The 14,661-nt window shown below is 39.6% G+C and overlaps 1 protein-coding gene across 8 annotated transcripts in view, besides 2 other annotated features; it reads left to right on the forward strand.

The window, feature by feature from the left end:
* The window catches only part of PTPRO (protein tyrosine phosphatase receptor type O), a 275,824-nt gene extending 261,661 nt beyond the window's left edge, over window positions 1-14,163 (forward strand). For 4 of the 8 annotated variants that reach the window (NM_030667.3, NM_002848.4, NM_030669.3 and 1 more), the window contains 4 exons: window positions 2,729-2,883; window positions 5,287-5,422; window positions 10,769-10,889; window positions 11,922-14,163. In NM_030667.3, the coding sequence (NP_109592.1) occupies window positions 2,729-2,883; window positions 5,287-5,422; window positions 10,769-10,873 (396 nt within the window). In that variant the 3' untranslated portion in view covers window positions 10,874-10,889; window positions 11,922-14,163. Of the gene's footprint in view, window positions 1-2,728; window positions 2,884-5,286; window positions 5,423-10,768 lie in introns of all 8 variants that reach the window. The other 4 variants (XR_931316.4, XR_007063106.1, NM_030671.3 and 1 more) reach the window with 2 other exon arrangements.
* Window positions 6,052-6,101: an enhancer, noted in NCBI's record as "active region_6069". NCBI's record gives its function as "activates an Ori minimal core promoter by ATAC-STARR-seq in GM12878 lymphoblastoid cells {active_cell/tissue: GM12878}" and the evidence as "EXISTENCE:reporter gene assay evidence [ECO:0000049][PMID:35858748]".
* Window positions 6,382-6,441: an enhancer, noted in NCBI's record as "active region_6070". NCBI's record gives its function as "activates an Ori minimal core promoter by ATAC-STARR-seq in GM12878 lymphoblastoid cells {active_cell/tissue: GM12878}" and the evidence as "EXISTENCE:reporter gene assay evidence [ECO:0000049][PMID:35858748]".

Consider the following 14,661-nt stretch of genomic DNA (forward strand, 5'->3'; position numbering starts at 1 on the left):
TTCAGAAGCAAGTGCTGTATCCCTGTGGAATGAATAAATCAGTGAATGAATGAGTTATTTCAAAAATAATAAGGCACTTGTAAAGCATCAATAGACTTTCCGTCAGAGAAAATATTTGTCAATCCAAATGCCATTTGAACTCTGTTTTTTGTTCTTAGATATTTCAATTGAAAAGCCAGTGCAAACTGATAACCAAATACAGTACAAATCTGTCCCTAGGTTTGCACGTAGTAGAAAAAATTTCAGAGCACAAAATAGGGTCTGTTCCATTGCCTATTCTGTTGACAAAGAAGAGTCACATAGATTATTGCTTGGTCAGTACTATGCTTCTTGTCCTTGGTCTTAAGTGATGACCTATCTTTCAATGACAATCATGTGAAGGACTTGAAAAATAGGAATAAAACATTGAACAGTAGTGTTTGTTTGTAAGGAATTTACTTGTTACAAGCGTCTGGTACCAGAGTGCCCCCTTTTGGCCATAAGCATAATGAATCTAAATGTTAAGCTACAATGAAGGCTAAGTTGCCCAAAGAACATTGTGCTATGCTAATTAATATATTTTTCAATTTGTTTCATTTTTTGTTTATACCCTTCTTTATCCATTCCATATTGATATGTGGAAACTTTCCAATTATAAAAAGATAAAATTACATAAATAAGGAACTCAAGGTAAGAGAAATTTAGGAATAGCTAAGTAAGATAAAACCAGAAGAGTTTTCTCCTTTAACAAGAAAGGAGAGAAATGACCATAACACACAACTTGTCACTTTCTACTACTTGAAATTTGGCATCAACTGAGTGAGAGCTGGAGACTAAAGATCATCAAAAACGTGTTTGTTGCCAGGGACTTTGTGCCCTGCTATTCAGCTCACAGGGCTGACCCCAGTTCCAGGACCCCTGCCGTGTAGCTGCGGAGAAACTAACTACAATTTAATGATTTCCTGATTTTAAATCACCTTGCACTTTTTAACTGAATACATTTTCACTTCAACCGTACTGGAATATATATATTGGCTACAATGTACACATGTTATACAAATTATGATCAGCATTTAAACAGGGCAAGCATTTTCCTGAACTTTCCTGGCAACCAAAGTTATCTGGTGGCTGAGTATTCTTAAATCCTCATGATGTTGAATAAGTAAATTATTCTGCACAATTCTTTATGCCCAAGATAGTTTCTCAACATACTTCCTGAAGAGAGCAGTGAGGGTAGCCAGCGTCTTTGTAGACTTCATGTTCTGTGTGTCTAAGCCAGAGCCCTTGAACATAGTAGGGGAGGCACTGCATGCTGCTGGGGATATATTAGGTGCCAAGGGTACAATGGGTGTAGGGGAGGTGATAACTTATGTATATTTAAACAAATCTTACATATTTATTTATACATTTTATTTATGAATTGTCTTTATACGTTTATTTTCTGTCCAAGACCACTGACTCTTTGAAATTCATTTCTCTTTCAATACCTGAACTTAAATTTTAGCTCAAAACTGACAGCGAGGCCAAGCTTCCCTCCTTCCCAGTTATGATATAGTATTCCAGCCTCTGAGTGAATTCTAGGCTCTTCACAAGTTTGAGAACTGAGGGATGAATCAGACCTTTATGAAGCCTGGGTTTGGGATATTTCTGATGGCTGATAACAAGTGGAGAATATGTAACTCTTACAAGTTAGTTGGGACTAAAAAGAGTTGATCTGGAAAGATATACATTCTAGTTAATATGTACTCAGTTCAGAGAGAACAACAATATATTTGATGTATGGGTTAATAGGAATAGGAAAATATACAAGTTATACTCACTTACTGGGGACTCCCAGAATCAACCATACAATTGCACGGAGCTGGATGACGGTGAGTGATGGTAATGAGGTACTAGTAAGTAGTAATATCACACACATGATTACACTTAATTCACACAACAACTCTTGTTATAAGTATCATTAGGCCATTTTTAGATATGAGAAAACTGAAGCTCAGTGAGTCAAGTCCTCTAGTATCAAAGCCCAAGACAAGGATTCTCATATAAGTGATTTTGTGAAAGTGCATTCTTAGGGAAAGCCCATAAGGGAGCAAGGGAAGCAGATTGACAGAGAAGAAGCCCTACAGAGCATTCAGCTGAAAATCTCACCTGTGCTGGATCCCACAGAGAGTGCTGGGGGCATGAACAGCACCATGGTACTGTCTCACTCTGAAAAAGGCTGGATTTTTGTACCCCACAATTAGTCAGTCATTAGCTGTGGGCTTCCCTCAGCAGGAGAACGCAACCTCTTAGGCATTTTCTATCGAGGCAGCTCTGTGCAGTGGAAGGCAACTATCAAGAGATAGGTACTGCTGTGCTGTTAGCAGCAACTGGGAAAAGTGTGTCCCAGGCTGGCAAAGTGTATCTAAAGGGCACCAACAGCACTTTCTACAGTGTTTAATTCATTAGCCAAAACTGATGCAGCTTCTAAATGACAGAGCCAGGATGCAAACCCTAATCTGCTTAAGTGTTGTCCACAGGTACAGATTAGCCTACTTATCCTACTATTTGAAGCTTTATACAATTAGCGTGGTTTTTTTTTTCAATACCTATTTTATGCCAGATATGGTGCTCAAAGCTGGAAAGGAAAGTGTACTGACCAGGAGTGGAACGTGGCTCTACCTTTTTGCATGCTTAACTAGCAGAGTCCTGGGTCATCCTAACAGTGAACTGAAAAATTAATGCTTGTTTTTGGCTTTTTTCTCTAAAGGCTGACGAGATGCAGGATGTGATGCATTTTAACTACACTGCATGGCCTGATCATGGTGTGCCCACAGCAAATGCTGCAGAAAGTATCCTGCAGTTTGTACACATGGTCCGACAGCAAGCTACCAAGAGCAAAGGTCCCATGATCATTCACTGCAGGTAACCTCATCAACTGCATTTTCTATTAAATATTAGGAGTTGGTTTTGTAAGGGGAACAGCTCACCATTCCATAAGCCCTTATCAGGTTTAGTTGAAAATTAAATAAACTCTGATGTTTTTTAAACTATGATTAATTGATGTCTCACTATATACAATGTTTATTCTGGCTTTCCTGTATCTATACCCTATAAAATAGATGTTATTATTCCAATTTTTAAATGAAAAAAATAGAGAAGGGTAGAGATGTTAAGGGATTCACACAAGTTCATGCAACTAGAACATGGAGGAGTTAGTATTCAAATCCAGGCATGCCAATCTGCAAAGATCATGCCCTTAATATGTGATATTATCCTACTCCATCAAGGATTCTGGGTAGTTACAACATGGACAAATACAAGGTCAAATTATAGAAAGCTGATCACAGCTTGACATAATATAAATAGGCATAAAAACTAGAAAAGGAAAAGAAAAATGAAAATATTCAGCTTAGGAAGATAAACATATTTGCTATGATTCCTCTTCGGGATTGTCTCTTAAATTGTCAGACAGTAGAATGAAAAAGGATATAGGATATAAAAAAATCAAGGTCCACACTAATTCCCAACAGGAAAAGTTATCATTAAATTTAATTTGTTCTTCCTACTGTATGAACAGAGCTCCATCAAAATCTATCTCTGTGATACAATATTGCTGTAAAATCCTTATGCAACCTCAAAAGAACAGGGGACATAAACGTGCTCCAATGGCAAGTGAGAGGTGGCAGTGGGATGAAGATGTGAAGGGAAGCATTGGCAGCCATGCCAACCTAAGCAAATAAATCTACAATCCCAGACCTACTGCCTTGGCCCTTGTGAATTAGAATGACTAGAATGAGGAAGTATATGTGTGCATTCATGTGTGTTTGTGTGGAGTGTGTGTCTCCCTGGAAAGGAAAATGCTTCATAAGCTACTAAGTTTCTGTTTAGGGCAGATATTGTTGCTGTCAATCCACTGTAGGCATTCACAGGTTAAAAGATGTGCTTTAGCAGGTAAGATTATCTGTTCTCAAAATGGTTCTTTTCAAGAACAGAAAATGAAGCTCTTCAACTCTGGGGTCAAACTCACAGATTCCTTTCATGGAAGATAGTAAGTGCAGTTCTGGATATGACTTTACAGGTGCTCACCCAATGGCAGATCATTTTATCTGAGAAATCCTGGGAGGGAAGAGTTGTCTAGTAGAAAAAGCAACCCTTAAACTCAAGGTTTATAGAGTGGGATTTTTCTAGCAAACTTTCCATATAAATTTGCTTGAACTTTCTCTTTTCCCATCATTTCACAGTGATTCAAAGCTAAGAGCCATTTGACTCTTTATTGAGGATTAGAGGGAAAAAAGGGCTGACTTCAACACATAGAACTAGGGACTGTGATGGGCAGTTGGTCAGCGCATGTCAGTCCACTTCCATCTGTGCCCCGAGCATTGGGATTGGGGGACTGGCTGAGACTGGGTCCAAATTTTTCATTTGATTTTAAGGCAACTATCTCAAAGGTCCCTGTGAGATGGAAGCAGGCCCAGGACCCACTAAAATGGCAGGCATGCTGTAAGGCAGGTCTGGGGTGGTGAACTGAACTTAGGGTTGAAGATACACAAATCTCTGTGGTCCCAGACCTAGAGTTAGGGTATGGACATCTCAACTGGAGTTTTGAGCTGATCTGAGGGCTTAACTCTGATGCTGTTCAAAAGACAGGGTATTGTTTATGTGTATCAGCTCTCTGAATTCAGAAATCAGTTCCCGAGAGTACTCAACATGGAATCCCTACTTTTCTGCAGAAGCAGAGACCCCGATAAAGGGTGTGGCCAATGCAGTGCAAATGTCTCTCAGGAACGTAGCCATGATAGTCAGAAATGTGACATTAGAAGGAACACCAACCACAACTCCATACTTAAAAATCAGTTAAGTGGAAAATATTGTCAGGAGCTTAGTCTGCGTTTTTCCACAAGGGTACTATTTGTAGTTTTTTAGAAATCATCAGTTTTATTTCAACAGTAAAGTAGCACCATCTGGGCTGGCCGAGGTGGCTCACGCCTCTAATCCCAGCACTTCAGGAGGCCGAGGTGGGAAGATCACCTGAGGTCAGAAGTTCAAGACCAGCCTGGCCAACATGGCAAAACTCCATCTCTACTAAAAATACAAAAATTAGCCAGGAATGGTGGCACATACCTGTAATCCCAGCTACTCAGGAGGGTGAGGCAGGAGAATCACTTGAAGCCGAGAGGCAGAGGTTGCAGTGAGCCGAGATCATGCCATTGCACTCCAGCCTGGGCAACAGAGCAAGACTCCATCTCAAAGAAAAAAAAAAAAAGAGGGGGGAGAAAAAAAAGAAGCACCATCTGAATAATATGCCATCGGAACATTCTTTTGCAGTGCTGGCGTGGGACGGACAGGAACATTCATTGCCCTGGACAGGCTCTTGCAGCACATTCGGGATCATGAGTTTGTTGACATCTTAGGGCTGGTGTCAGAAATGAGGTCATACCGGATGTCTATGGTACAGACAGAGGTAGGAACATAATCTATATGTATTTTTAAATTTTCCCTGGACTGAAAAACTTACCATTATTCAATGATATGCTTCAAAACAATTCTCTCAAACTTCTTTGTATCTTTCTTTCCCATTTTCTTATTGTATATGTTCAAACTGCTTTGAGGCATAAAAGAAATAGACACTAGCCTCCAGAAATCCATTCGACATATAGTGATTATACTTTTATTGGCATCATAATTCAGAGTGCATGGGTAGATTCGTAAGAGTAAAACCTCTTTGAACAGACTCAGAGTCAATTGCAGATAACAGCCATCCTGGGTAAATGCCACCAAATAGAGACTGTTGAACTGGTGAAATTTGATTTATATTTGAAATGTTGGATTTGATTCAATACATTTGTCATTAGTTTATCCTCCGTGTGACTCTATCCCAATTCACTTTTGATGATGATTAGAAGTTGGATTTGAGCTTTCTGTCCCTTTTATGATTTTAAAGATTCCCAGTCCCCAACCTACCAGCATTGCCAGTTCCCTTCATCTCAATGATGAAGATTTATTATTTTAACAACATGGAAGCATCCCCTGAAATATCCAACAGTGTTACGTGCTCCGTCTTCCTCCTCTTCTCCCGAGTCCTCCCTCCCTGAAAGCCTGAGGATGCACTTAGTCTGGAGCGACAACCCAAGGCAACGCCGGCAGACAGCACCGCCTGCCTCAGAGCAGCCGTGGGTGTGTACCCTTGTGGGCGCAAAAACCCAAGTACAACAGCTTGTTCATAAGCCTCATCACCCAGCCATACTCGCGACTTCTTAGCTTCGGTCTTACAATAATCCTTTTTCTCAAAGAGTATGTGTGGGTGGAGCGCTTGGGTAGAACACAACCTGGCCCGACCTGTAATCAGGGTATTTTTAAAATGCTTTGGTCTTCCTCATGCTTTTCCTACCCAGCACCACTAGATGTCAGTATCACTTCAAAAGCCTAGAGTAATGGCGGCCGTCTCAGCTGTTTCTGCTTTCCCACTCCTTTTACTTTTCTTTCCTCCTACCTCCCCATTCTTGTCTGACCAATTTTTGGCAAGGCTGTTTCAATACATTCATTTCTGAACTACAGCAGGATCATACCACTTGGGAAAGAGTTATCCTCGTTAATATTCAGACCTCTCATTGATAATTAGGAAGCAAGTCCAATTGGTTTCCTCACTTGGTTTCAATCATGCTGCCTAGTAATTTAGTGTGGTGGGGACATCAGTATCACTTTTTAATCATAAGTTTAAAATGTCTGGTTTCCCAGAGGAGTCCACTGTCTGGTGAGTAAACAGTGCTTTATTAATCGGTCCATATTTTTGGCTTTTACTTCCATAAATTTGCACCTTGATATGTGATTAAAAATCCACGTTATGTATATGAATCACCAAGCTTCAAAGAGCCACACCTTATTTTAAGTATTTTGCATTTAATGAATTGTCTCCTCAATTTACTTAATTCATACCTTTTACAACTTCATAGATTTTGGGGCCTGGCGTAGTGGCTCACAGCTGTAATCCCAGCACTTTAGGAGGCTGAGGCGTGCGGATCACCTGAGGTCAGAAGTTGGAGACCAGCCTGGCCAACATGGTGAAACCCCGTTTCTACTAAAAATATTAAAAAATTAGCCTGGCCTGGTGATGGGCACCTGTAATCCCAGCTACTCGGGAGGCTGAGGCAAGAGAGTTGCTTGAACCCAGGAGACGGAGGTTGCAATGAGCTGACATGGTGCCACTGCACTCCAGCCTGGGCGACAGAGTGAGACTCCATCTCAAAAAAAACAAAAAAAACTTAGTAGATTTTAATTATGGCCTGTTTGCTTTTGACTTTTCTCCAACTACAGATTCTTAATCTCTTTCACATGACACATCCTCCATCCCATTTTTAGGGTCATTATCTTTCTTTGGGTGGTTATCAAGCAGCCACCATGTCGCTTTCTGCAAAGCCAAGAAAACGTTTTGTTTTCTCCCTAAATGTTTTACCCTAAATTTTGGTTGTTTTATTTGTTTATGCCAGCATTTTATGTTGATATCTCCGCGGACACAGCCTTTTTAAAGTACAGTATCCCCATCCTGGCCAACATAGTGAAACCCCTTCTCTACTAAAAATACAAAAATTAGCTGGGCGTGGTGGCACACGCCTGTAGTCCCAGCTACTCGGGAGGCTGAGGCAGGAGAATCGCTGGAACCTGGGAGGCAGAGCTTGCAGTGAGCCAAGATCGTGCCACTGCACCCCAGTCTGGTGACAGAGCAAGACTCCGTCTCAAAAAAAAAACCCCATAAAATAATTAATTAAAATTAATTATGAAATAATTAAATAAAAAATAAAGTGCAGTATCCCTTCCCTGAACTCTCATGGGGAGTTCAAAGTCAGCAAAGGGGGCAGAGGTTCCCCGGGTTACTTACTTTTTCCAACTTTTCTAGCTTGACCCTTGATTCCCGCAGGACTTCCTGGTGGATGTTTTCCAGTTCCAGTTATTTATCTGTGTCTTTTTTTTTAACTTATGTCTAGAACATCTTCTTCATTTACCTTTATTTTTTCCTTGTTCCTCTGCTTACCATGGTTCATCCCGTATTTTGAATACAGATTGATCTGCCTAAGATTCTCCTTAAGCCCATTCACATTCAAATTCTGCTGCCAGGTCACAAAAGTTAACAAGGAAAGAACAAAGTAAAAAAAGGTTATTCTTTTCACATGTATCATCCTAGAGTACTCCTTTGACGCTAATGATTTTCAAGAGAATGAAATGGTTCTCCACTTGAGCTCTGTTTTTATGTATATAATCAACCCACATAGACCATATTTCCTCCCATCACTGGTATCTAATTTTCCAGCCTTCTCTACATTGCCTTGACCCCACCATTCCACCTCACCCAAAAAATTGCAGAAGTAGCTGATAGGATGAGCCATGTCTCCAGGTGCAACATGCTGCCTGGACTGCACTGTGACCTGCCCTCTTCCTCTTCCTCACCTGACCAGACACACTTCATAGACTTCTTCACGCAAGTAGAGGCGTATTTAGAAAGAATGCCAGACCCTGAGGGGAGCCTGAATCTCCACTTTACTGCTGCACAAGTCATGTCACCTCTCAAGGCTCCCATTTCTCTTCTGTAAAATATGAATGATAACTTTCACTAATTTTTGTAAAGCAGACATGATGGGAAATAATATAACCTAGATAAGTGATTTGAAACTGTGAAGTGCTACTTATGAATGATGTTCTCCTCTCTTCTATTTTTATCGAATATTTTGTTTGGTTTTCCTCTAATATCCTTCCCTGGAGGTCAGTTGGGGCTTTGCTTTGAGCAGCCCATCCTCTTGATCTGCAGTTTGAATTTCGGGACTTTCAAGGACAAGTCCCTCCATAAATAGTCTTTATTTACTTTTCTTGTGGTCTTGTTGTTTGGTTGTTTTTTGTTTTGATACAAAATGTAGCCACTAAGCAGATGCAGATTGAATGTCCAGGCAATCTCTGGTCTTATCTATTCCCTGTGTTGACATAACACCAGAAGCAATGGATTAGGTGTCCATGTGTGATGACCACAAGGGGTAGCTCAGCCACTGATAGGATACCATCACCACAAAAGGGAATATATTTTCTCCAAACCGTGTTGAAAAATACAGGTTAGGCTGAGGCATCAATCCAGTGATGTTCGAAATATTAATTTTGTTTTTTGTATGAAGTTGTTACACAGGAAGCTTCTTAAAATCCTATGAATATTTTGACCGGATCTCATTTAAATGTTATTTCTAGTGCTATTACTTATAGAGAAACTCTGGGAAACAAAGAAAAAGGAGGAACACTGTGAAATTACCCTTACTTCTTGGCAGAAAGATATATTTTGGTGATTTCATTTTGGCTTTCATTCAAGTATAACTTTTACATGATTGTGCTCATATTATATGTATGTATATATGTGTGTTACTTTACATTCTATTTACATTGTAGTTTCTCATTTAGGATTTTACTATGTAGCCTGTATAGTATCAAAAATTACCTACAACTCTATAAATCTCATTTTAAGGACAGACTAATGTTTCATTAAAGATACACTATTGCATACTTAAACCAATCTCCTTTTTATAGAACATTAAATTGGATTATTTTCCACTTTTTACTATTATCTGTGTCCACACCATTTATTAGCACTTTATTAATTCTACCTCCACAAACAATAGGTAAAATGGACTGCCTCAACAAACTTGTCATCATTAAATATTATTCTTTTCCTTCTAGCTTTGTCCACTACATAGATAGAAAATAATTATTTCAATGTACTTTGTATTACTTGACTATTGTTGGCATATTTTAATATTTCCTCAGTTTACTTCAAAAATCATTTAATAAACACAGCTAAGTGCTAAGCATTAGGAATAAAAAGACATAGTTTCTAACTTCCAGGGAATATTTGGCCTAGTGGTTGATGTCCTTTACTTATTTGTCTATTTGTATATGTTACTGATTTGAATGACTTTATCACAAAAATAAAGGCATCAATATTCTGTCATAATTCTAGAAAATATTTTTCTTTTCCAGTTTGTGGTTTACCCTGTGTTTTATTCTTTTTAACTTTTTAAAATATACAGTAGATTGAGATTTTTATTTGTAATGTATTCTACTGCTCTTAATTTTAGAAATTCCTTTCCTAAAGGAATCAGAGAGAAATTAACCAATATTTTCCTCTGTATTTTTAAAGACAATTTATTAAATTACCTGGAATTTGCTTTGGTGTATGATAATGGGATATCCTTTTTTTTTCAAAATAGCCCCATGATTTGATTGAATATTCATTTCCTTTAGCATTAATAATGATTTAATGTACAGCATGGTGAACATAGTTCATAATACCGTATTGTATACTTGAAATTTGCTAGGAAAGTAGATCTTAAGTGTTCTCACCACACACACACACACACAAATATATATACATACATATATATGTATATATACACACACATATATATAAACATATATATAATCTGGGGTGATGAATGTGTTAACTAGCTTGATTGTGGTAATCATTTCATAACATATATGTATATCAAGTCATCACATTGTACACCTTAAATATATACAATTTTTATTATACTGCAATAAAGTTAGGGGAAAAAAATTCCACTGTTTTTTTAAAAAAGCCATGATGTTCTAAGCTCTGTTATTAATCAAAATACTTGTACAGTTGATTCTCTTGGATTTTCTAGTTATAAAACTGTGTCTCTGTAAATAATGAAAATGGTTTCCTTTAACACCAGATCTTGATCATTAAAATTGTCATAGTATAAAATATTATATCTTTGCACATGTCTGCTCTGAAACCTGTTTTTGTCTTTTGTTCCAGGAGCAGTACATTTTTATCCATCAGTGTGTGCAACTGATGTGGATGAAGAAGAAGCAGCAGTTCTGCATCAGTGATGTCATATACGAGAATGTTAGCAAGTCCTAGTTCAGAATCCGGAGCAGTAAGTGGAGAAGAGCTCTCCACGAGTGCTCAGTCTTAGAACTATTAGAGGGGGATGTGATGGATGGGACAAAAGACAGCAGTAGCCATTTGTATTGACTCTGACTTCACATGAGTATTTCTTCCCAGCTCCTGGCCTCACATGGGTGGTCACAGGGAGAAACAAGTACTGTAGCAGATCTTTGAGTTTCAATGCACCTTGGTTGGTGTTGGCAACAAACAGGAGCTTCTGCACATCATGATGACTTTACCTCCATTCCCTCTACCCAGAACCCTAAATTATTCTGTTATTGGATCTGTGCCTGTAATATCAGGATACTACCATCCAAATCTATCTAGATATCTTGTGCAAATATTTTATTGATTACAAGGGCTGTATACGGGGTTACAAAAAGACATGAGCTGGATTGGACACTCCTAAAACCAAAAACAACAGTGACAATAGAGTCTCAGGATAGCAGAGTCTGAAAATACCTTGGTCTCCCCCATTATGTGAGCCCTTACTTGAGAGCTTCATGAAGACACTTGTAACATATTCAACGTCCTGTACTCCAGTTTTGACTACGAGATCAGATTTTGGAGGTGTAAGTAAACTTGGCTGAGGTAACAGTAATCTGCCCATTTAGTTCAGTAAACAGACTGTAGAGTGTCTGACTATACTGGGGGAAGAGGAGCCAATGACAGGGTAGGGAGATGACAGTGGTGCATGATGGGAGAATCATGAAAGTCTGGGAAGCATATGGACCAGTGGGAAGGATAGGATTAGCACTGCACCTCTACATCCATCAAGAGAGACAGAGCGCACAATGGAGCAGGAAGGATAAAAAATAAAGAAAGACAGAGAGAAACAAATTTGCTGGGAGAGGGAAAGACATTCAGACCCACAGAAAGGAGGCAGCACACAGAGAAAGATGCACAGATCAACCCACATCTGCATGGGTTGTGAGACTGAGCATAGTGAGAGCAGTGGTGGAGCAATAGAAGATTGCTGTGACACCAGGCTGCTTACTGTCTTTCTTTGTCTCATTCACAGGAGAGGACATGATGTGCGCCCATCCTCCCTTGCTTCCAGATTGTTTTAGTGGGCCCTGATGGTCATTTTTCTAAACAGAGGCCCTGCTTTGTAATATGTGGCCAAGGAGATAATTTATCTCACAGAAGCACCGGGAAGACTTAGCCTTAAAGAGCCTACAGTGTCCTTTTGGACTCTTTCACTTCGGGACATTTAATAATGGACCAAATTCAACAGAACACCAGGAAGGTCAAGACGCTCTCCAAAGGGCAGGAAGTACAGCACTTCCGAAGAGTTTAGTTGGCCCTTTGCTGGTTGGGCTGAGTTTTTTATTTTTAAGTGTTTGTTTTTCAGTGCAATAATTTTTGTGTGTGTGTGATTCTTATCAGAAAGTTGAATTGTTTTCTGCCTACACCGTTCATCAGCCCCATAACCCAGGAAGGAACAGGCATTGTTAGCATCAGATTATACCTCATTATTAAAAGGAGGCATGGCCACACATGAAGAAATGGTCATTCTACTTCAAAGAAATTGAGCCAGCACTATCTGTACTCCAACATTACCGGATCTGGATTGGGGAGGTTGGTCAGGGAAGAGAGGGGTTCTACCCACAGATCAACTGTGTAATCTTTTACTATTCAAGCTATAATTCAGCTTCAAAGTAGAGTAGAAAAAAAATTGTCTTAACTGTTCTAGTTCTTGATGGTTTTCTTCCTTATTAACAGTTGGTGTTTCTTCCTTGGCCCTTTTGGACTAATGTTACTGTCCAAGTTCTTTCTCAAGAAACCACATCTGGTTCAGAAGAGTGTCAAGTTGGACTCTTTGAACTCTGTTGCTGTCTGAGCAATCGTGGTGCCTAGACTTTGCATTCCTTGTTCTGTTGACCTGCATACATGTGAGAGCTATTTCTTTAAGAACTATATAGGCTGTGAAAACGCACTTTCTTTCCCCCAAAGAGCTGGGAATTTATGAAGTTATGGCAATGAACTGCAGCATGCTGGGACAATTATTTGACTACTTTTTTTTGTAATATTGTCAAATGTCTCTATGGATTCTGACAGAGATTTCTTTTTGTTTTGTTATTCTTTTGGTTGTCAGTTTCATTTTAACGAGTGTAACTAGTAACATTTTATTCTTTGGATTTTGTATAATTACAGTACATGATTGTGTATTGTGACATGAATGCTGTCAAAATGACATTGATGGCATTGTGAAGCCTGTTACTTTGTGTCACTTCCTGATAAATAAGAGGTGATGACATGGATATACAACAGAAAACACTTTGAGTTGAAAGTAAACACAAGCTGGCTGCTTCCCTGTGGCAACTGTGGCTATTGTGAGCCTCCGTGTGTGTGCTTCCAGGAGGCTTTGCTCCTCTTCATGCACCCGACACTGCCCCTTCCCTGGCTTCCCTCCATCCCTGATCATCTTCATGAAGCCACAGATATAAGATCAGCTTAATATTTTATCAGTGACCTTAGTGTTGGTGAAGGATGCCAAATGAACAGCTCTGCACCCCACCGTCTCTTGTCACTGAAAAGGCTTGGCCATGGCAGACCTTGGCAGAGTTTCTTGCAAGATCTGGCCAGTGAGTCTCAGTTTCACCTTGCAGGGTGAATGGCAGAGGATGCCCATACCCTGCAGGTTAACAGCTTGGGCTCCTCAGGGGTTGTCAGTTCCTACTCACCTCCCTGCTACCACCTCCTCCTCTTCTTCTCACCCCCGACTCCTTTATTTCCCTTTTTGGACATTTTAATAATGTGTCGCACCATTCTCAGGAACAAACATGGTTAATGAAAGGTGGCAAAGGGATGTGTGACATTCTTAGATTTTCACACATGGGCAGTCAGGAGTGAAATGTGCAACCTTGGAAGAGCTGATACAATGTATGGTAAGCTGAAGTACGTTTCCAACACTGCTGCTCAGAGCATACAGAAGTTTTGCATCCTGGAACATTGCTTCCCATGAAACAAAGCACTTCATAAATATTTTATGTTTTTCTTGAGCACCCTTTCAAGGTAGGGATCAAATAGTGCCAGATCAATTTTCCCAAAAGGAAAGAGGAAGTATCCAGAGTTTAGACTGAAGGCTTAGAGTCAAAACTACAGGAAGGTCACACTGTTCTCTGGAACACTGTTGCTCTTCAGTTTGTAGAGTTTATGATGGAAAAGGCATCAGTCTGTCAAAAGACTTGTTTAATCCTGATAATGACTTTGGAATTATCTCTCCTGGGTCTCAGTTAATAAACTGAAGAATGACCTAATCATAACTCCATATCTTGCAACAGGTATAAGAAGTATCAGATACGATAATTGACCCAAAGGTGCTTTGTGTCTTGTTCTCTCATGTATGTTCCGTAAGGCTACTCTAACCAGTTCTGTTTCCACACCAGGACCCAACTTTAAGCATTCAGAAGGGAGGCTTCCAGAGCCTCTGTATTATTAACTAGGGTTTTTAAAATTCATTTGAGTAATGCTTTGTTCTAAAAGAACACAGGGGCCTTAGTGCATGTGTTCATAATAGCCTGTATGGCACACAAAAAGATCTAAAAACTTGAGCGTTACAAAACATTTCATTTTGAGTGCTATTTTTTTTTTCTTTTTTTTTTTGAGACAGATCCTCTCTCTGTTGCCCAGGCTGGGGTGTATTGATGCAATGGCGTGACCTTGGCTCACTGCAACCTCCACCTCCCAGGTTTAAGCGATTCTCCTGCCTCAGCCTCCTGAGTAGCTGGGATTACAGGTGCGTGCCACCACGCCCA

Source organism: Homo sapiens, chromosome 12, assembly GCF_000001405.40.
Source record: "Homo sapiens chromosome 12, GRCh38.p14 Primary Assembly".
Lineage (NCBI taxonomy): Eukaryota > Metazoa > Chordata > Mammalia > Primates > Hominidae > Homo > Homo sapiens.